Source organism: Homo sapiens, chromosome 4 (assembly GCF_000001405.40).
Source record: "Homo sapiens chromosome 4, GRCh38.p14 Primary Assembly".
Classification (NCBI taxonomy): Eukaryota; Metazoa; Chordata; class Mammalia; order Primates; family Hominidae; genus Homo; species Homo sapiens.
The window spans coordinates 16,685,915-16,710,212 of NC_000004.12; the positions used below are offsets into that span (position 1 = coordinate 16,685,915).

Here is a 24,298-nt window from a genome sequence, read left to right on the forward strand (position 1 = left end):
GGTGGTGTGTGCCTGTAGTCCTAGCTACTCTGGAGGCTGAGGCAAGAGAATCACTTGAACTTGGGAGGTGGAGGTTTCAGTGAGCTGAGATCGTGCCACTGCACTCCAGCATGGGTGACAGAGAGAGACTCTGTCTAAAAAAAAAGGCAAAAGTCAAAATATGTAAACATGGCAGATCAAAGCTAATCACAATATTAAGAATTCAGTTTCCCTGGCCAGAGAGCCACTCGAAGCAGAGAGTAACCATAAATGAGGATTTCTTGACCCCCTTAACTAGATCCTCACAAAGCAATAGCCCAAATTCTCCCTTCCGTGTGACTATTTATCCCATACTAAGCCAATAACCTACATCCTAAGAGATGGCTGCAGAATGCACAATTAGGAAGAAGTTTTATTATTTTTACTGTGCTAGTCATCACATTGGAATCTTGTATAATCATGATCCAAAGTGGGTGGTATTACTCTCATTCTTACTGATGCAGAGGCTGAGGTTCCAATGGCTTAAGCAACTTGCCCAAAGACAAAACATGCAAGGAAAGACTACGTGACCTCACAGATTGTGCTCTTGCTCTTGTGTGTGACTCTCAAGAAATGATAAGAATCTTTGGGCAGAAATGCTGACAACTGAGGCAGAGAATCTGAAAACAACCTTCCCTTCAAACCTAAAAATCAGAGACTGCTTCTTCCAAACCACTGAGCTGTCAGAAGATGAATAAGGCAGAGAGACTGTCAGAATCCAAGTCAGGAGTACTAGCTTGTTCTTGACATGGTTACAGAGCCTAGGATACTGCAGGTGAATTCCACCTGGTTCTGAATGAATGAATGAATCAATCAATCAATGAGGAATTGCTCAAACTCAGGTTGCCAGTAGCATATAGGTCCATGGGTACAAAAAACTGTCATTCTGATTTTTTCTTTGTTTTTAATGCATATCCTTGCTCTTGCTACAAATCATAATTTTGGTGGGGTTGGGGGGATCCTTATTCCTCCAGCTTTCACTCTTTCAAAGTCTGACTTCTTAGTCTCTTTGGTCTCTTATTCCTCTTCCCTACTTTCTGCTTTCCACCTCTCCTTTTTCTTCATCCTAATGTTTCAGAAAGAATGCTTGAGAATATATATTTTTCTTTTTACCAGTGAAATATGGGGTGAAAAAAATACTGTATATACATTTAGATTGCCTGACTTTCCTCTATAAACTTGAAAAAAAAAACCATTAACTTCAGTTCATTAATGTAATGCCATGAGTTTCTTGTTATGAATTGTTATGGTCGACATGTTTATGTTTTCTGCAAATTCCTATTTTGAAATCCTATCCTCCAATTTAATAGTATTAGGAAGTAAGGGCTTTGGAAGGTAATAAGGTTATGAGAGTGAAGCCCTCATGAATGGGATTAGTGCCCTTATAAAAAGAGACTTGAGAGCTTGCTCTCTCTCTCGCTCTCTACTCTCTGCCACTTGAGGACACAGCAGGTAAATTGCTGCCTATGAACCAGGAAGCAGGCTGTCACTAGACACCAGATCTTCTGGCACCTTGATCTTGGACTTCCTGCCTCCAAAATGGTAGAAAATAAATATCTGTCGTTTAAGCCACCCAGTCTGCACAGCAGCAGAAACTAAGATAAGGATCATATTTTTAATGATGGAAATAATAATAAAGAAGAGGAATAAGTAAACTAAGTCTGGACTTCTCTAGAAACCAAACACTATCAGACCCAACTGGGAGATGTACTTACCCATATCAACTAATGTGCTATACTCATCCAATGTAAGGAACTCTGCACCCTCCCACACCCACCCTGCCTTTTCTCTGTACAAGGTACCATGCTAGGCCTGGAGCAAAAAGGAGATCAGGAAAAAGGCTAACATGTAAGAATATGTGATTCTAGGAACTGTCTTGTAAATTCTCAGGAAGAGAAGTTAGCACGTTTTGGAACTGAAATTAACCTTATTCATCATAAGCAAAAATATGGGGGCAAAACTGGTAGAGAAGGAGCTCTTATCCAATTCAACACACATTGCCTACAGTGATTCAGAAAAGTAGTATCCCACTTGTTCAGCACCTAACAAATGGCAGGCATTGGGCTAAATTTTTTACATTGAACGTTAGCTTCTGAACCACATTATGAGTCAGATAAAGAAAATAAGATACAAAGACTTACGTGAATTATTCCAAGTTACAAGGTATAGAAATGCACAAATGGGAATTTGAACTTGAAAAACCTGTTGGACCTTAAAGTTCGCATTGTTTTTGCAACTACTCTGCATACATGAGTGGCCTCCCCACAGTAGGAATACAGAAGTTCAACAGCAAATGGATTCAGGAACTTGGAATAAGACAAAGGAAACCCTCATGAAATAAAAAATTTTTGAATAAAGTGGATATGGTTTTGGGGATCCTTCATCCCATCAAATTCAGGCAGGTGCTTAAGCAGCCTCCCAGGCCCTCATGTCAGAGGAGGCAGGGCTTGGGCATTGATGGCAGCTGCCTGAGTCTTGCAGCACTGAGAGGCCAGCTTCGGCCACTGTCCATGCACTGGACACATAAGAAATGATAGATTCTTCCTTTCTGTTTTATTCCATTTTCTTAAAAAAGCACAAAATGGCATTTTGTTTTATGGCAGTAATTACTGTTACAGCATTAGATTATAATATGGGATCTGATAATAATAAATTATAATAAAGTTTTGCTTCTCTCACAGAGTCTTGAATGACTTGTCCAGGAGACCTAGTTTGGAGCTTTTTCAATTCAGCTGTGTTCAAAACAGAGAATGGGCTGAATTTCAATGAGGTGCTGATACTATGTAATGTTCTCCACACCAAATACCAAATCTACAGGCTCAATGTCAAGAACATACAAAGTCTTGTAAACTAAATTCAAAATCTCTAGCTTCTATTCTTGCTCCTAGCAGTCCTTCATCTCTCCTAATATGTATGTTATTTTCAATGTGGTTTTTCAAAACAGAAAATGAATATTAGTTTTATAGTTGTGGATTCTGCATCAGGCAAAGTCTATCCAAATAAACAACAACAATAACAAACACTTTATTTATTTCAAACAGAGGGAATATAATACAGGGAATTAAACAGATGACAGAGGAGCTGAGACCATCGCTAGGGGACTGTGAACACTCTGGAAATTACTAACAGCAGGATGCTGCTACATGCCCTGGTGATGGAAGGGAAAGACAAGAATTTAGACCCAAGGTCACTCAGTGGTAGGTGGAACCTTTAATGAGCTGGGATATGGAAGGAAGAGCTGTCCTACCAGAGCTGGATCACCGAGGGTACAAAGCTGATGTTGGAGACAGCACCCAAATCCACAACACAGGGTGGGGGAATATGCTAGCTTTTCCCTTCCTCCGCTCCCCAATTTTCTGCCAGTTCCTACCCTTGCCTAGTAGCCAGAAGGAAACAAAGCTAAAAAATTCCTACCGATTCCTTAAGATCTGACTGGCACACTACTTCCTCCATGAACCCTCCCTTTAGACTTCCAAATCTCTTTATGTAAACGTTTCATGATGTTACATTTGGCTATCCAATACAGTTATGCATATTTAACAGCCTGTGAGCTTTTCAAAGATAAGCTCTATGGTGGAGTCTTTGTGGTATCTCCAGGCCTTACACAAAAGAGATAAAATTCTGGTAGGCCTGGGTTCAAATCCTAACTCTTCCACTTAGAAGCTGTCTGACTCCTGTTAAATTCTTCAATCTACTTCAGTTTCCTCATCTATAATTTGAGGGAAATAAATTCCTCCATGTAGAGCCAGTCTGAAGATTTAAAAATATGGGACCTAGGCCCCTGAGCATAGTAAATGAGTAGCTTCTTATTGGAATGTGGTCTTGCTTGGATTACAAGTGAATAATGATGCATTCTGGTGAGCTAATGGCTTCTATTTGCTCATTTCTGTAAATCACTTACTAAATATTATACAACCTAATGACATTGACCGTGTCTTAGAAACTTCTAAGAATAGTTAGGCCTTGAAGCCGTAAATGTGAAAATCTATTTGCAGAGCTCTGCCTTCCTTAACACTACCTCTAATGAGAAAATCCCAGTAGAAAGCAGCCTCAGAAGGAGGCTTCAGAAAGGGTCAACCCAAATTGGGTGATACCTATGTGTGCACTTAGTCAACTTCAGCTAGCCAATCAAATAAATAAAGATGGTTGGGCTAATTTTTAATGGCCATGATCTTAGAAAAGGAACACACTGTCCTCAGTTTCTAACTCATGGGGAAGTTTATCACAAGGGTGTGTGGTATAAACAATGCTACACCAGCTATTGCCAAGATTTTCCAATGAAGAACCATCAGGCACTTGAAAGGTCTATGGTTTTTTCAGGAGCTTAAGACTAGCCTGGGCAACATGAGAAAACACCATCTCTACTAAAAATACAAAAAAATTAGCTGGGAATGGTGGTGCACACTTATAATCCAGCTACTCAGGAGGTTGAGGTGGGAGAATCACCTGAGCCCAGGAGGTTGAGATTTCAGTAAGCTGAGATCACACCACTGCACTCCAGCCTGGGCAACCGGAGGAAGACCCTGCAGGAAGGAAGGAAGGAAGGAAGGGAGGGAGGGAGGGAGGGAGGGAGGGAGGGAGGGAGGGGGGAGGGAGGGAGGGAGGGAGGTTGGGGAAAGGAAGGAAGGAAGGAAGGAAAGGAAGACAGGAAACGAAGGAAAGGAAAGGGAAGAAAGATGTATGGTTTTTTATACCTGCTCTGATCATCTAGGAGCTGAGGTTGGTCTTTCTAAACCAATGGACAACCCTCAGGCTCAACAGAGCAAACAAAAATGTAAATCCTATCAGTTAAGTTTGATTAGAACTTCTACCTTGAGAGCTGAAGTATGAGGTGGGAAAGAGACAAAGTTATGCTTCAGTATTTAAGTCAAACTGTGGTAAACTTCTTAAACCTTAAACTCCATTGTTGACTGAATTCTAGAAGTATTTTTAATACAGTTAAAATGACTCTGCAATTATCTAGAAATAAGCTTGAGTCAGATAGACCGTTTCCCCTATGTCTCAAGGAAGCCATCTCTGATGTCCTGTTGTATCTCTTAAAAATGAGCACTCCACCAGCAGCATTTATTAATCATCTATTATAGTCCAGGCAATTTATGTTCTTTAATGATATCTAAGACTTGTTGCATAACTACAAGGTGTGCTTCATTATCCAAATCTTAGAGGTGAGGAAACCATGATGAGATACATTAGATAGGTCACCAACGTCAAATAGCTTCTTGGTGGCAGGGCTGTCATTCTAATCCAGGGCTGCTTGCCTCTAAGGCTCTAAGGTCTTTTCTCTTTCAGCTGGACTATGCTACCTCTTTTATGTGAAAAGGTAGTACTTACCCTTTCATTATTCATTCAACAAAGAGTTAATTAGAGCTTACCATGTTCATGGAACTGTACGAGCCACTGAAGTTACAGGAATAACCATGACATGGAACAGCTTTGCAAATATGAAAATTCACTGCAACGATAATATTCTTTGCCCGAAGAGAAATAGGCTATTCTGTAAATAAGGACTATGCACTATTAGAGGCATTTATATAATGCTACTCATTAAGTAGAGGTAAAGAACAGTGTAGACTAATTAACCACAGGGCAAGAACCCAGGACAGAGAGAAGGAGATGGAAGCAGGGATGGAAGAGCAAACACCATTGTTTCGTGCATGGAGGAACAGTTCAGTATCTAATTTCAAGAATGAGAACTCTGGCCAACACATGTGAGATCAATCTCAACTTGGACTATTAGCTTTGGCAGCTTTAGTTTCAGGCCTTCTTTGGGGGAATAGAGGCAGTTCCACATCTTCTAAATTCTGATTCTACCATTTTCTCACTCTAAAATAAAAGGGAGAAGTTAACTCATTTTCTTCTCATGATGACCATCATCAAAAGGAGTGTAGGTGTCTGACACATACAGGTTTTCATTCCTTCTGTTAAGGACTCCTTCTCTGCTTAAATTAATAATCCCTTGAGAAGCTGCTTCCTGTCCTGAATTTTATTTACATCTTTTCTCTGCAGGCTAATTACTGATGCTATTTGCGATTACACAAAGTTGAATGCCTGACCTTTCCTCTTTGATATTCCAGTGACTTTATTGTGCTGAATCTGTGGCATTGGTGACATCCTGAGAACCACAGTACAGTATTGAATTATCATAAACACAGATTGAAAGTAGCAGCCTTTGATTCATCACGAGGCAAAAAAAAAAGTGTTCTTAGAGGGACAAATTCTACATGGAAAGGAGAATCATGTGAGTATTAGGACATCAAAATGCAGATGCGTACATAAACTTATGAGTTATACATCAGAATTTGGATGAAGTACAAGTTGGATATACATACATTGACTCATGCCCAGAGGCTATAAAGCAGAAAATGATCTTTGATTAATTGCTGAGACCTTCAGAATAAGCATATCTGACGTCTTCTTAAGTCCCTCGGCAAAATACACAAACAAAAAGTTAGGTATGACCTTGCCCTTAGGGATGTATCTAGTCTAAAATCTGCCAGCAGCAGCAAAAGGGTTACTTCCAACTTCACCTTGGAAAGTAGCGATGTACAGGTACTGGTGCCCTGAACATGTAATATTTATATCAGTCATACAAGTTTAATTTTTTTCTTTTCTGTGGAAAGAAAAAATACTTTTTTTTTCCTCTTCTTTTTTGGTAAAGCTCTGCACTGCAGGGGGAAGAAATAAAAAGAACCTCTTCAAGTTTGGAATTTTCCACTCCCCACACCCCCTCAAGCTGGTCAGAGGAGCATAGCAGGAGAGACAGAGCCAGGAAGAAAAATGCAGATATGATGATTTGTCTTGGTGAGTCTCAGAAACCATTCGCAGTCCATGAGGCTGAGTTGACCTGTGCTAAGTTGGTGATTATGGCTTATTCGCTTTTGTGTTTCTCACAGATGCATATACTGGCCTATATGTACACATGAAAAGCATGAAGCTGATGTCTGCTATAGAAATCCAAGGCAATTTATTCCTCTGCTGTGAGTGTGTGCATTAACTCCTAGTTTCCTTGAGGTAGAGATTATTACAAAAGTGTTTTCTCCTAATATTTTCTTCCCTGCCCCCCAGAGCTAGCTATTTTTAGAGTGGGAATTAGGTAATTATCTGGACCAGGTCCCCTGTAATTCTCATAAAAGGCAAGCAAATAAAATGAGTTTCGAGGGCCTTGGCTTGGCTTCAGGCAGGATATTGGCAGTGGAGACACCATGTCCTGAGATACACAAGGAGTGAGTCTCTAAGAATACAGTGTGAATCAAAGGCCTTTATATTTATGAATCATGATTTTTATTTGAGCCTCAAGAATCTTGGTACCTAAGAATCCATAGGGAGAAGAGCCAGGCAACTGTCATAGTCTCAGAATCTTCTGACAGGGTTATGCCCTTGAACTATGGGCTACTTGTTCCCTAGAGCAATAGTTCTTTTTTTTTTTTTTTTTTTTTTGAGATGAATTCTTGCCCTGTTGCCCAGGCTGGAATGCAGTGACTGACGCCATCGCGGCTCACCGCAACCTCCGCCTCCTGGGTTCAAACGATTCTTCTGCCTCAGCCTCCCGAGTAGCTGGGACCACAGGCGTGTGCCACCACATCCGGCCAATTTTTGTAGTTTTTAGTAGAGACGGGTTTCACCATGTTGGGCCAGGCTGGTCTTGAACTCCTGACCTCGTGATCCCGGCCTTGTTTATTCTTTTCTTGCTGAATCTGATCACCTTCTGTGGTGTGTTTCTAGTTCTGTGACAAACCTGAAGCACAGCAGAGAGGTTAAAGAGGGACACAGTGATGCAGAGGCCAAGAAACTGTGCCATGAGGCATCCATGCCACTGTGCAATGCGAATGCAGCACTTCCCTGCAAATACACATCTTTTTCTTTCTGCTGAGGCACATGTTCCAATGCTGACACTAGCCAGAATGGGGAAGAATTCCAGGAATTCCAGGGGAGACCTGACACACCATCCTTTCTCTCCCTCTCAGCGAAGGAAAGTGAGATGCAAATTTATGGCAATAACCTTAAGTCCACTTCATTATATACAGAAATCATTCAAACTTTCAACAGTGTAGGTTACCTGTTGTCGCTCCTCCTGGTTGATCTCATGATAGCACTGAGACAAGTAGAAGCAGAAAAGTGGGGCTGCAACGGACCCCTTCTGGGGCTGCCAGTGTAATTTGTGGCTGGTTTTATTTCATTCTGCCTGAAAGCTGCAGAGCTTAGCTGAATGCCCACACTGTGAGAAAGCTTCTTCAGTTGGGATTTGGTCCGCACATTCGGGATAACTTACTGGAAGGATTTTAATGGATTCCTGACCCTGATGGTTGCTTGTGAAAACAGCACTTTACAAACACGTTGCCATATTTACTTGCGCATTCACACTTTCCACCAATTTGGAGAAGAAACTCAGAAGAGAGGCTTTCTCTGCATCCTCCTCCCCCTTCTCTCCACACTTCTCTCTCCTCTGTTTTAAGAACATTGACCGATCACAGCTGGTGCCAGAACATAAGGCTGAGGGAATAATCGCTGCATTAAATGGAAGTATCATTGTAGTTCATGTTTATTTTAATGGAGGATGTTTCTACAAAGCACAACAGACTAAATTAGGCATCTGAATTCTCCCTGTCTGGGGAATGTCTACCGAGGTGGCTCATGCCCACCTCCTGCAAGGCCTTCTTCCCTCCCAGCCCTTCCAAATCTTAGCTGGACACAGCCGGCTTGAAACTTATGATGGGGTGTGTGCGGGCTCTGGCAAGGAGATGAAATCCATTCGTTGTTATTCATCATGAAGGATCTAGCATCACATGGCCAAGAGTCATAGCTTTATTCTCTCTACCACCATGTACTCGTCGGCTACATGTGTAGCAAGCACCTACCTTCCAGAGTTGTGGAGAGGATTTAAAGTGCAGACGCAGGTAAACACAGGACAGTGCCAGGAGTGTAATCAACATCTAATGAATCCTAGAGTTATGATTATAATGCTGATGTTCTATCTATCAATGCAAGGAGTTCATGGCATCTTGGCCCCAGTTTGCCAGGGAAACAACAACTCTTTGTAGAGGAATTTGTGTACTTACCTTTCCTTCTTATCTGTCTTTCCTTTCTCATCCTGCCTATTGTTTCGTTAGTTAGTTTTGCAAGTTGCATTTCACAGATTCCCCTAGCATGGACTTGTAACTTGAGATCCAAGGAACCTCAAGAGGGGGCTTCAGCCATTACTCAGTGCCTTGAAATGCATGCAAATTTCTGAATATGTTTGTGTGTTTTTCTAGGTACGGTACCTACAGTTTTTTGTCAGAGCTCCAAATAGATGCAGGCCACAAAAAGTATAATTATTGCTCTAGGCGGGGCGCAGTGGCTCAGGCCTGTAATCCCAGCACTTTGGGCGGTGGGCGGATCACCTGAGGTCAGGAGTTCGAGACCAGCCTGGCCAACATGGTGAAACCCTGTCTCTACTAAAAATACAAAATTAGCCAGGTAAGAGGCTGCAGTGAGCTGAGATCACACCGCTGCACTCCAGCCTTGGCAAGACAGAGCAAGACTCTGTCAAAAAAAAAAAAAGAAGAAGAAAAAGAAAGCCTTATAAAACATTGTAAAAAGAAGTTATACAAAAACATAGTGCTTTAAAATATATCTCAACATTTTTTAGCAAAAGCACCATCTAATCAGAACGGATTGAACTAGGGATTGTCAATTTTTTTCTGTAAAGGATTAAATACTAAATATTTTAGAGTCTGTGGGCCATAAGACCTCTGCAAAGACTATTCAAATCTGTCCTTATAAAGCAAAAGCAGCCCTAGATGACACAACACATCCATGAATGGGTGTGGTTGTGTTTCCAATAAAACTTTATTTATAGACACTGAAACTGGAGTATCATAACTTTTACATGTCATAAAAAATTATTCTTCTTTTGATTTTTTTTGAAACATCTAAAATGTAAACATCATTCTTAGCCTGCAGACCATACACAAACAGAGGTTAAGCCTGATTTAGCTTCAGGCTATAGTTTCCCACTTCCAGGATTAAATCACCAAAATGGCAGTATCTGTGTCTTCTGTGTCTCATGGTTGCATATCATCATTGCATTGCTCTGAAGAAGCTGAAAATGCAGAGCAATGGGATCCCTGACTTGACTGTGGGCAGAGACAGAGTAGGCAATGAAAGTGCTGCAAAGGCCTTGGGGAGAGAGGAAAGTAGGCTAGGACAATGGGACTAGTCTTGGGGAAAAAGGACTTCTCTGTGCTTTTTAGCTCCAGAGAAGGAATGTAAAGCAATTTTCACACCATCATCTGGGCTGTAGCGGAACAGTGAGTATCTCTGATGAATGATGGGCTCTATATGTGGTGGGCTGCCCTTCCAGCTGGATCAGGTGCTGCAGAGCCTAGAGACAGGCTAACCCATCGTCCCTTAACCAGCACAGCTCAAACTGCGAGTAGACAATTTTTCAGTAATGCACTAATGACGATTATATTAGCCAAAATGAAGAAAAAATAATCCAAGTTGCCATTTACATTCAGAACATTTTTTTCAAAGGAGTTAGTATATATAAAAGAAAAGGTCAGCTCTAAGAATCAAAATTAGTTGTCTCTCCACAGCCTAATTTGGGTCTTTTAGGAAGCAGAGCTATGATTTCTGTGAGGAGTGGGATGGAGACATTTGAACCCACCATCATGACAACAGAACCCTGTCAGCAAAGGGCCTGTACTCTCTCTATTGTAAACTGGTCACAGCAGAAGATATATTTATTACCGGTTTCTGCACATTAGGGTGTTATTTTGTGCAAATTATGGTTGTGAGCAAGAGTTTTTCTTAGAGCAGTGGTCATACTCATTCCATGATGGGTCTAAATGCTGTCACTGTGCTGCCAATGGGCTGTTTCTGCAAGCCCAGAATCTGCATTAGACTCCCTTGCAGAGGTTTGTAAAATACAGATTTCCAGGCTCTACCCAGATTGCTTCAATTTAGTAGGTCTGGAGTGGTGCCGGAAGATATATATTTTGGGGAAAAAGTCACCCAGGTGATTCTAATATCAGCCAGATCCAATGCTCACTTCTCCAGTAAACAGGATAAGCTATTTGGGGAGGGGACAGAATATGGAAATGGTAACTTGGAGTCTCCACAGACATCAGAGTGGCCTTAAGCACAAAAGGAGCCTCAAGAACTGCCAAGCACTATATTTCCATCTTTAGTAAGAATAAATTACAAGTTCTTCAAAAATCCTGTCTTTGGCCTAGGAACGGTGGCTTACACCTGTAATCCCAGCACTTCAGGAGGCTGAGGCGGGCGGATCACGAGATCAGGAGATCGAGACCATCCTGGCTAACACGGTGAAACCCCGTCTCTACTAAAAATACACACACACACACACACACACACACACACACACACAAATTAGCCAGGCGTGGTGGTGGGCGCCTGTAGTCCCAGCTACTAGGGAGGCTGAGGCAGGAGAATGGCGTGAATCTGGGAGGCAGAGCTTGCAGTGAGCAGTGAGCTGAGATCGCACCACTGCACTCCAGCCTGGGCGACAGAGCAAGACTCCGTCCCAAAAAAAAAAACAACTCTCCTAAGGCTCCCTGTGAAATTCCCCACCACGGCTTCTTCCTACCTGTCTGCCACCTCTCTGTGTCTCCTTGGCCTTCTCTACTCCACCTTTCCTGGACCCCAGCTCTTCAGTTCACCCCTGTTTCCTGCAACTGCTTCCTGCCTTCCTTTGCTCTTGCCTTCTCTTTGCCTCAGCCCTCTTCTTCTAATCCAGATGGTGTTGCATTTCCATCACTGGTTCTCTCTGCTCTACAGGGAGGCTCCTCAATTCCCTTCCCTAGTGTTGGAGGAAAAGTGGTGGGCAAGACAGACAAAGTTCCTGCTCTGATCAAGTTGACACTCCAGTAGGGAAAGACTGATGGAAAACAAGAAATATATATATGTAAGTCAGATTGATTTACGTAGTAGTAAGTTAAAGCAAATTAGAACAAGATGAAGTGGTAGAAATTTGTTCACCATGGCAGTGCTAGCAACTATAAAAATGCTTGGAACGTTGTAGGCATTGGATAAGTTATATTTTTTAAAAAATGAATTCCATTTTGTGTGTGTATTCGTTATATAAACAAAATGATAATTTGTGCCCTGTTCAACGTTCTACTTTTTTCAGTTAATAATATGTCTTGGAAAGTTTTACACATAAGCATTTGCAGAACTACCCCATTACTGTTTTTGTCCCTTTGCCTTGTACAGTTTATTTTTATTTACCCAGTTTCTTGTTGACAAATCATTTTCCAGTTTTGTTTTTTATTTAATTACAAACACTTCACCGAACATTCTTGAACATGTGTCTTGATACACTCAATACTGCATTAGTAAAGAATATTCATGGGGGTAGAATTATTGTATCAAAAGAATATCAGCAATTATTGTATCAGAAGAATGATAGATATTGCCAAATTATCATCAAAAACGATGTCACCATTTGCACACCCAGCAGTAGTGTATGATAATACTCTTTCCACACACCTCACAGGTCCCCATTATGATCAAACTTCTGATTTGTCAGTTTGAAAGTTTTCTCCTTGCTGTATTTGATTTGTATTTCTTTCATTATGAATGAGGTTGAGCATCTTTTCATATGTTTATTATTTGCATTTCTTTCTGAATTTTTTTAATATCCTTTGCCCTTTATTCTACTGGATTTGTTAATTTTTTTATTTCTTTCTGTAGGTTCTTTGTAAATTAAGAAAATTTGTTTTATAATTCACATTACAGATATTTCTTCCTGATTTGTCATTCTTTTCATGTATTTATGACATACTTATTAGTGTATTTTATTTGCCATACAGAGAAGTTTGTAATTTAAGTAAATGCAAACTTATTATTTTTCTTCATGGTTCCTACGCAATGGTTTATTGTTTATGTATGTTTATGTAACAAGCATCTTAGTGATCTTCTCATGAGCAAAGTTATATAGAATACAAAATTCCTAAAGTCTCAGCAATCAAAGGTCTTTTGAAGAAAATAAGGAAAAGTTTTGAATTAATGACCAGATCTCTTCCATATTATCTCTGATGGTAGCTCAGCTAGCATTTTTCCTTCAGCCTGTCAGGAATTGGGCATCTTATTTTAAGAGGCAGCTCTTTATATTGTTACACAGCTTTTTTACCCATTTGTTCAAATAAGCGGTAGAGGAATTGTGGTTTAAGCAGAGAGCAAAATAAAGAGAGGTCAAGAGCAGGAGATGATGGCATCTTCAGGGGACTGCACATTCTTCATCTTTAATCGTAAGATAACTCCTTCTAATACAGAGCCAAAATTGTCTCCTAGTGTTTTCTCATGACGTTCTGATAAAGCAAACACATTGGAAATAAAAGATTCTGCCATTCCTTTTTGATCCATGTTGGAAAAATCCAACCAACGCTATGTGATAAGGATCATCACTAACTAATTGCGTAGTAAATCCTGCTACAGACTTCATTCCCTGATGATATTGTCAAGTAATAAGTATTTCTTTCCGGTTCATGGAGATAGGATGTTACTTCTGTGAGTTTGTCTATAAAACTAGTTCTGTATACCAATACCATTTTCCACTGACTTTTATTGTGTAATTAGGTATATGATGGCCTTGTATCCATATCCATTATGCAAATAGATATATATTCACATGGAGAATATGTGAGGTGGAGAAGTATATAGAGTATTTAGAAATATAAAGAAACTACACTGAGAATTGTGAGAGGAATAAGGCAATAATTGCAACTTTCAAAAATAAAAACTGTAGAGAAAAGGAAGAAGGAAGAAAATGCCAAAGATAGATTTATAGCTCTAAATGATCATTTATAGCTCAAAGAAAAACTTCAGATTTTCATTGCTCAGTTCTCTCCTCTCTGAGTAGGGAACACAGACATGTGCCTCAGAGGGACGAGAATTCCCATAATGCACTCCATTCCCAATATGGCGAACGCTGCATCCACTTAGAACGCATGTACAGTAGGGGGGCCAGATTTAGCAAATAAAAATCCAGAACACTCAGCTAAATTTGAATTTCAGATAAACAATGAATACAGGTCAAGTATCCCTTATCTGAAATGTTTGGGGCCAGATGTGTTTAGGATGTCAGATTTTTTTTCGGATTTTGGAAGGTTTGTGTTGTACACTGAACTGTAGTTCAGCATCCCTAATTAAAAAATCCAAAATCCAGAATGCTCCAATGAACATTTCCTTCGACCCTCACATCAGCACTCAAAACATTTCAAATTTTGAAGCATTTCACATTTCAGATTTTCAGATTAGGGCTACTCAACCTGTAATAATTAGTAGTGTAAATATGTTTCCAGCATTACTCAAGTGCCCTGTATTCTATTTGGCAATTCTAATAAATGGTCAACTTCTCATTTTTTCATTTGGAATTTCCAAACTCCATGAAACTGACTCTTGAAGCAACCCAAAAATATAAATGTTTTAAAATATTATATGTTAGATATATTTGGTTGCTATGTAAGAAGATATTCTTATCCTGAGAGGTTTCAAATATCTTAGTAAAAAACCCAGCCCCCCATTTCACTTACACGTAAACACATTCACAATTATCACTTGTTTTCTTGCTAAAAACATCCGGTGTGTTTATTTTATTTTATGTTATATTTATTCTGTTTTGCCTGGCACTTCATATTCAATCACATTACACCTGCAAAGCTGGGCTTGAATTGAATCAAGACAAGATACGCTGGGCAGAAGCCAGACCCTGTGGTGAGAAAGCCATGGGATTCTCTGACCAGTGTCCCCTTGTAAATATACAAAGTGGGAGGACTTGAGGTGAGAACAAAATCTCACTGAATTGTGAGTGAAAGTGATCACCGCTGACACCTCCTGGGCCAGTTTGAATACAAAAACAATTTAGGTAATGACTTCATAAAAAAGTTAAAGCCCCCTATTGAATAGATCAGAATAAATGTTCTCATCAGCTAAGGCAAGTAAATATACAAATGAGTGAGCAAATCACAGCTTATATTGAACAATACTAATATAAATAGCTCTCATTTTGCATTGAGTGTGTGTTTTACATATATGAACTCATTTGTTACTCAAAGCAGTCCTGTGAGAGAGGAACTTTACTTATCTCCATTTTACTGCTGAAGAACCCTGAAGCACAGAAGGGTTAAATAATGACCCAAGGCTACACTGCAAGGAAGTGATTGAAATAGAATTCAAACCTTCTTCTTAAGATGTCACCTGCCCTTCAGATTATCTGGCAAGCAAAGGGCAAAATAACTTTTTTCTCGATTGTGATTCTAATTCTACCTGATTCCTTAGAAGGCAGCCTCAGCCTTCATAACAAAGATATCAGTGCTCAATAGATAACCCTTGAGTAGACAATCATGTTCTTAGTCTACTGACCAACCTCAACACCCATTTTGCTCCCAGAAGTGAAGAAAGGTGGATCACAAAAGAGTAGAGTAGATTGAGTGTCCAAGACCTGCCTGGCACCACGCAACTTTGGATAGGTCATGGGCCTCAACATCATAGTTGTTTCCTTATCAGAACAAGTAATGATGAAATGATAATGGTAGCCATCCTAGAGTGAGCTTCTACTCTTCATTAGGCACAAGGCTAAGCATTTAGCATATATAGCACCAAGAACACTGTGATCGTAACCCGCATTCTTGCCTCCACTTTATAAATGAGGAAATTAAAATGCAGAGGAGTTAAGTAACCTTTGGAAAGTCACACAGGTAAAAAGAAGCAAAGCAAGGGGTTCTACCAGTTCTAGTTAACTTCTGGGGGCAGCTGCAGCCTGTGAGCTAGGTGCACGGCTTGTGGCGTTCAGGCTGGCTGGGATCTAGTCCTGTTCTAACACTGAGTAATATTGTTCACATTACTTAAACTTTCCATGTCATGTTTTCCTCTTCTGTAAGTTCGGGATATAGTACTAGTAGTGTCTACTTTAGAATTCAAGAAGACCAGATATATAATGACCAGAACATTGCCTGGCAGAGAGTAAACACCTACACAAGCTAGCTGTTATCATCACTATTACTATTGTTATTGCTATTACTTTACTGTGGCTACTACTATTGCTATCATTATTGCCACTGCTTTTTCTATTACTATGAATGCCTTTCCTATTTCAGCACAATGTTCTTGTCTTAAAAAAGAAAGAATTTATAGCTCAAGAGTTCCATAATTCTTGCAACTCTAGAAATCTATAAATGAGAGGAGGAGAAAAAAAGAAAATGAAACAAAGACCAAAGTTCCTTGAGGAGAAAAGAAGTCCTTGAAGGGCTGCTGGAAAGAGATCAGAAGGAAAAAACATCTGAAATATCCAATGCTTTGAGTTTCAGATACTTTATTTCCATTCGGTTTGCAATATTCAAGTTCCAACACTTCCCATGAACTTGGAAAGTTCTCTTATGGTTGTCAACGTATTTCCTAAGAAGGACCCATGAAATGAAAAGTCTGAACTGCATGCCCTGCATGCTCCCGTTCCCCTCCCACTCCCCTAACAGGGACACCAGCCTGAATCACCTGAACATGTATCATTTTAGGCCTCAGCCCTGAAGCATCTCCCCGTCCCTCTCACTCAATGTGCTCCTCCAAGGCCAGTTTCAAGAAGTAGGTAAGGAGAAATGAAGGTGAAAGAAGCTGCTTCTGTGTTTCAGGCTTTGATGGACTTTATTTTCCTTGTCCAAGTGCCTCTCCCTTGCAGACCCTGTGATGTGGGTCATCTTCCTCTTATTTACTTCATTCAGGGAAGGTGAACACAATGGCTGTCAAGGTCCATGCATCCTGTTGGTCTGCATGGGGATGCATGAGTGAAGCTCAGTCCCACCAGCCTTTGCAGACACAAGCCCAAGCAGGAAGACTGCCCACACGGCTGGGGCGTCATTCCTCACCATAACTTATGGGCCACTCATGACCTTCCCATGACGGACCTCCAGCCCTATCCTTCCCACTCTGCCATATTGAATTGCTTATAGCCCTTGAATGCCTATGTACTCTCTCTACCCTCATCCATGCCCCATGCACCCTCCTCACCTGTACTTACGCTGAATATCTAAGTTTAAATGTGGATCCTCTAGGAAGCTGTTTCTGACCACACAGACTGGGTTAATTGTCCTTCCTGTGTATGTCTATACACAACCAACCCTCATTTATCCAGCGTCTTCTGTGTGCCAATCCTCGCTCTAAGAAATGGAGAAAATAAATGTCGAACAAGTCAACATGGAGAGAGAAATGGCAACATAAACAATATTCCAGAAAGTGATATGGGCCATAATAGATGAAACAGGATGACCTGGTAAAAAGTAAGGGGAGGCAGCTATATGAAATTGGGAAACCAGGTATTTTTTCTGAAAAAGGAACTAATATTTAAGCAGAGTCATGAAGGCAGAGAAGAAGCCAGTCGTGGAAGGAGTTGGGGCAGAATGTTCCAGGTAGAAGAAATTATGCAAAGATGCGAAGGCAGGAATGGATGTAGTGTGTAAGGTAGACAGAGAGCTTCCTGGGGGAGAATGATGTGGTTTATGGACATGCCAATAAGGTCATTGTCATGGCCAGTTTTTATCCAAGGGTAATCTCATGGGTAGAGAGCAGTTGGACATATGACAAAGGCTTTAGAATAAGACAGCTGTGTCTACTGCCGATTGGCTGTACGGCCCTGAGCAAGATTTTTTAACCACTCTGATCATTATCTTTTTCAACATATGATAATGCTTAAAAGCAGACCTTAGAGTTATTCAGACAACTTCTCTTTTGCTAATTGGGTGGCAATATATTTACCTTTTCTGAAGCTAATTTTTCCTACATGCCAAGTGGGTCACATATAGAAAGCCTAGCATTTAGTGTATGGCCAATATTTTGGGTGCATTATCAATGTTATTGTTACTCATTTGTGTGCAAGTAATAATACCACCAATTGCAGACTGTTTGAAAATTAGATATAATTTATGTGCAGTATTCCAAATTTAGTAAGTTTACAACATTAGTATAGTGGATGTTTCTTGTTTTGCATTTACTTAGCAACCATTTCTCTATCTAACAGCAACTTATTTCCTTTAGGGAAAGATTTCTTTCAATTGTATATACCTGATGGGACTGTTATCGGGTGCCCCTCTTTTCCCCAACTGGGTGACCCATGCTAAGCCAAGCAGATACTTCCTCCCTGGAATCTGCATCTTGAGTAGAGTCAACAAGACTGAAAAAAAGGCACTCATTCATTCTAGCACTGATGCCTGAGAAAGTCTCTTCCTGTACAAGACCATTATTGTGATTTCTGTTTCCTTTGGCCTCCAGAACTACAAAAACCCCTGTCCCTTTCTAAGACCTGGTCTCCTTTTTCTACCAATTCTAGAAGTTCCTGATAGCCTTCCACTAGATTCCCTTTTGTTTAAATTAACCAGGGTTATTTTATTTCTCTTGCAACCAAAAATTGTAACCAATCCAGATAGCTATATTATTGTTACTTCTACTGTTATTAAGAAGGAAGGTTTAACTACTAACATTATTGTTAATTATTATTTTTTGATGGTATGGGGAGTATAAACTGCCCACAAATTTTCTGCCTTAATTGGGAGTAGATAATAAAATCAAAAGCAAGCCACATAAATCTCTCTTGTTTTCCCATTCACACCCACACCTGCTCTGTATATGTATCTATTCCCATAGCTTGTATGGTTTGTAGTTCAAGACTAAATCCTGGCTACAGCTCAAAGCAAGAAAAAATTTACAAATGATAGACTGGGCTGTTGGTTTAATGTCTGTTTTCAAGGCCTATGACGTAGTCACATAAAAAAGCCTCTGATAAATTATTAATAGACAATGATGCATGCTATGTGTGTTCTCTATGGTGAGGACAAGGACATAGATTCAAAACTCATAGATGATACTTAACTTCCCTCCACGTGGAAGCCACAGACTGCTTGCTCACTTACAATTGATTCTAATGCAGCAGTGAAGGAGGCAGGTAGAAAATAAAGATGAATAAGGTAACATACCTGAAAACCTAGTGAGGTCCTGTCTGCTTCCTCTAGGTCTATGATTACATGATTCTGTCTAAGAAGTTATTAATTTTTTTGATGCATGAGGATCTTTGGCTTAAGAGGAAATTTCACCTGCCTTCACTACAATCTTTAACTTGCTCAAGTTCCCCATGTCTCTAATAAGAATAAAATGATTTCTGTTATTAATTATGAAATAATAATTATACATAATCCTTTCATAGTTTACATAAATATGTCATATATAATTTACAAAGTTGTTGTAAAGACTGAAAACAGTCGTGTGCCCTTCCTACTTCACTTCATAGAAGAAGTGTGCTCACTCCAATCAGTGACCACACTTCTTCAGCCCCTCTTTGGAATAGAGTTCACATCCATGCCCTATGGCTTCTGACTTAGTTTAGCTCCTGTAAAAATAGGCAGGGTCTATTTTTTCACCTATTGAAGTTGGGTGTGACCATGTGACATTTTTTGGCTAAGGGAAAGTGGATAGAAGTGAGCAGGTGCCTGTTCTGAGCTGATGTCTCAGGAGGCATAGCGAGGTTCCACTCTCTCTGTCCCCTCTAGTAATTTGCTGTGAGAACAACATGACCTAAAGCTGCTATCCCAAGGAGAATGAGAGGCAGGAAATTCAATCTGTGGCCTGAGGGCAAGCCCAGCCTGCCTGCGCTTAGTACAGGGCTGCCCTAGCCTACCACAGTCCCATGAAGAAAAATATAGAGGCTTTTTGTTCTAAGCCACTCTGTTTTAATGTTATGCAGCAATATTGGGACAACAGCTGAGCAACGTGCTAGTCCTTTTTACAAATTTCATTGTCCTCTGCATGATTTTAAACTCTGTAAAGTTAGGGTCTGGGTCTGTTTGGTCCATTGTTATTTTCCCCACTTCCTAGGAGAGTTTATAGTGAGTAATATTTAATGGTCTATCATGAGTTCCTTTTGTTAGTCTAGTCCCCTCTCTCCAATCAGATATAAATTTAAGATAAAGAAACAATCCTACTTAAGAATGATATCCACAAAATACATATGAGATTACCTTTCACTTTTCTCAGTCACTATATAATCTTTTTTTTTAAGTGAACAAAATAAACAGGCAAATCTTGTGGATAATAGCCCAGAGGCTAGTTTTCAAACTATTAGAGACAATATTTACTATTTCTTTGTATAGTGAAGGGGCCAAAATTGCTAGTAAAAATAATTCTGAATTCTTGTGTTCCTTTATTTACTCAGCAGGCCTTTTGATGGCATTTCGTGCTAAGCCCCATGTTAAGTCCTTGAGATATGGTGCAATGGATTTAATGTTTATTTCACTACTTCCACCCCCAAATTCATATGAGGAAGTCCTAACCTTCAAGGTAATGGTATTAGGAGATGGGGCCCTTGATAGGTGATTAGGTCATGAAGGTGGAGCCCCCACGAATAAGATTAGTGCCATTATAAAAGAAGCCCGAGAGAGGTCCCTTGCCCCTTCTGCGACCTAAGGACACATCAAGAAAGTGGCCATTTGCAAGCCAGGAAGAGAGCCCTCCTCGGATATTTAATCTGCCAGTGACTCAGTCTGGGACTTCCCAATTCTAGAACTGCGAGAAATAAATGTCTGTTGTTTATAAGCCACCCAGTCTATGGTATTTTGTGATAGCAGCCCAAATGGACTAAGACATAAAGAGCAAGATCATGATTCTGGGTGTTAAGTTATTTATGCGATAGTAGCAAACACAATTCCATAGACATCAGAAGTTTAGTGTGTTAAGTGTTTGCATTGATAGAAACAGAGTTCTTCCTAGGGGGACATAAGAGAAGGAGTATTTAACTCAAACGTAGAAGAAATCTGGGGAGACTTTGAGCAGGTGATAGCTGGCTGTATTTTAAATTACGTGTAGGAGCCAGCTGTGTGAAGAAAACATTCAGAAAAATAAAATAGCAAGTACTGCAGCTCTCAGATACCTCAAGGCAGATAGGGTGACAGGGATCAGTCATTTAGGAAGTAGCTCATTATTGCTAAGTAGTGTACGAGCATAGCCTTTGTTCCATCTACCTTTACTGACCACAATTCTGTACCCTCAACATCCCGATCTCTCCAGGCAAATGATTAATTTCACTTTGGCAAACAATCCAGGGTGAGGCAAAGTCTGCAAAACTTTTAAACAAAATATTCATCATTTTAATTCCTTTGCCCTTCTCAGTAAAATTAATAATAATCCCATTTACTTAATTTGGGAACAGAAGCTACACATGAAAGCCTTAAAAAAAATTGATGAAATAAAATCTGCTAATTCATGTGATTATCTCAGAACCCAAAAGACAATGTTTTGGGTCATTTTATGCCACTGAGAACTTTACCTGAACACTTGTGACAAATAATAGGACTACTATCTTTCTATTATACACATTTTGGCAAATAACTGAGCATAATAATGAAATACAATTCTAATACTGTGCTCTAACCTTTAGAGCACAAAATTAAAGGAAGAAAAACCCCTATAATTAAAATACTACAGAAAATGGCCAAATGGACATGGGAGTAATGTAAAATAAATCCTGGAATTTAATCAGCTTTTTAATCATCACTAGTTAAGACAATTGGTTGGGACTGTTATTGTCAATAGCAAACTAAAATCATTTCACGTGATAATTTCGAGGGTTAATTGTTGCAGTTTATTCAATGCAATCTTCTCTACCGGCTTCATTTTTATTTGCCAGTACACCAATATACCATGATTAGCATAAATTAAACTAAGTCAATTCTGTGGGTTACTAAATTATTTTACACCTGTCTTTTTTTTTTTCTTTTCCTCCCCAAACATTTAAAGGTTAGAGATGGGTGAATGGTTTGATGGCAAATTCCAACATCCAGCTGCTCAGCCTCAGCTCAAAAAAGAAATGCTTAAAATCTGGGTGATTGATTTTCAGAAATCTTGGGTAGAAAAATACATCGTGAAAAAATGTCATCACGAAAGATGTTGTATCATTATACACTGACCTTTTACAGAGGCCCATGCGACTCACAGCTGGGAAGCAAGGAGCTCTACATGCAAACTTAGATAATACAGAATGGGAAAGACTTGCGTGTGTGCCTCAAATGAGCCATTTCCCGTGTTCAAACTGACACACAGTGACCTTGGATGGCTCCGGTAACATTTGTTCTTAACAAAGTGAGTTTTATCTAATTTGGAAACTCCATTCTTTTAACAGTGGCTCACTGGTGGTAATTCATCTTTCACTGAGAAGCTCACCACAGGAATCCTTGACTTACACCCAACTTTGGGGGAAAAAAAAGTCACTTATACAAAATGGTCAGCCCAGCAGGGTGTGGTGGCACACACACCTATAAACTCAGCTACTCAGGGAGATGAAGTGGGAGAATTGTTTGAGCCCAGCAGTTTGAGGCCAGTATGGGCAACAGAGCGAGACCCTGTCTTAAAAAAAATTAATAAATAAATTTTGAAAATTAAAACACACACACACACAGAGAACCCCCAATGGTCAGCCCATTCCAAGACCTGCTTCTCATCTACTTCATTACCATCCAGGACACTTAACTCCTCCTGTCTACCCATATTGCCCCTGGACATGTCCTCTTCCCCTCTCCTCCTCATTACTTCACTTTTGTGGGAATTTACCCACTACTTACCACCTACCACCTTCCTCTGCAAATACGGCCTGAGAGAAACTTCTTCTTCAGCCAACAACAATCATGGTGCATCTATTACAAACTAGACTGTTAATATGGAGCTGAGGATACATTCTTGGGACCAGGTAGACATGATTCCTTCATCACACAACTTAGAGTCAAAAGGAAAGACAATTATGATATAGTGGATAGACATAATTATATTAGGGAAGTACAAAGACCTATAAGAACAGAAGCCTCTCTTCTCCCTCTTCAAGCTTCCTGTGCTCTCTGTGGGAGCTATCTTTCCCCCAACACCTGCTTTTCTCCTCAGTGGGAGTTTGGAGTATGCAACACATTGGCTTTTATTGAAAGGGAAAATGACAATAATCTTCTCCTCACTCTGCAGGTCTCTACCCTGCAAGCCACCTCATCCTGCCCTGGGGCCTCTAACACTTTGGATGCAGAAGGTGTCCACTCCCTTCTTTACTCCCAAGCTGGGGTTTGAAATCAATGACAGCTCATCCTTGAACCATCTGCTCAGCATCAGGCTTGGGTAGAAGTCTCTCTATGCTAGAGAAGCTGTCTATTCTATCACCGAATTCTCATTTCTTTGCCCAGTGCCTAGCTCAGAATAGCTGCTCAATAAATATTTCTTGAATAAGTTAAATTTTAAAAATGTATTTAATTAATGAGCAGTTTTAAGATAATGATATATTCAAATATGGTAGATGATATTTGAGTAGAAATGGTGATAACACAAAAATTATTCTGCAGGTTATAGTATAATATGCAGAGAGAGGTTCAAAACTATTGTGAGTCTGCCTCAAGACCCAATGGGAAACTCCATCTTTTATTTATAAACCAAGTGACTATGACCTAAGGGCCTCACTTCCCAAAGACCTGACTTAGAATATCATTCACATGAACACATGGGGTCTGTCTTGTCTAGCACTGAGTCCATATGATTTGGCACACAGCACACAAAGGTACTCAATTAATATTCATTGAACACACTCAATGAATTAGCTAAGATAAACTTTTAACTCACAAGATATTTGTAGGGTAAGAACCTTCTGTACAAGAATTTATCAAAGGATGGCTTGCAAAAGTGTTTTGTTTGATTTGCACATTGTCTTTCTAAATATTGAATTTTTTGCCAACGTAAAACATTTTAAGATAATACCATTTTACATTAAAAGATTTCAACTTCTACTGAATTGGAGAATTCAGAAGAATTTTCAATTTCTTCTGAAATATCAGAGGATCTTGAAATACTATAAGTGAGAATAATCCCAGAGGGAATGTCACCTGCAGCTTTTTGGGAATGACTCATTTAAATGGGGCATGAACTCTCCAGTTCACCAGGTTCTCTACCTGGCCAATTTTACGCATCCATACACCCCTAGAGATATTTGGCCATGTGACCTTGATCTATACAAGCATATTAAGGAAGAAGTAAGAGAGGCCATTTGAGATTAGGAGCCCTAAGCCTCTTTTAAATTCTTAATAATTTATAGCTTAAATCCTTTGGCACATACACTACCAAGTTTGCCATAGATAATGTGTCATATATAGCTTAAATCCTTTGGGATATATTCATACATATAAACAGAGAGTTTAAAGTGGAGACTGATGGGATGGGAAGAAGAATAGTTTTTAAAAATATTTCTGCCTTCATAAATAAAACTCAAGACACTCCCACA

General features: G+C 39.8%; 1 protein-coding gene across 22 annotated transcripts in view, besides 1 other annotated feature; it reads right to left on the minus strand.

Annotated features, from left to right (window-relative positions):
• The window catches only part of LDB2 (LIM domain binding 2), a 397,105-nt gene that overhangs the window by 184,374 nt on the left and 188,433 nt on the right, over nucleotides 1–24,298 (minus strand). The window lies entirely within an intron of this gene.
• Nucleotides 6,516–7,715: an enhancer, noted in NCBI's record as "BRD4-independent group 4 enhancer chr4:16694053-16695252 (GRCh37/hg19 assembly coordinates)". NCBI's record gives its function as "activates an origin of replication core promoter dependent on BRD2, P300/CBP, MED14 and CDK7 cofactors, and independent of BRD4, by STARR-seq in HCT116 cells {active_cell/tissue: HCT116}" and the evidence as "EXISTENCE:reporter gene assay evidence [ECO:0000049][PMID:35650434]".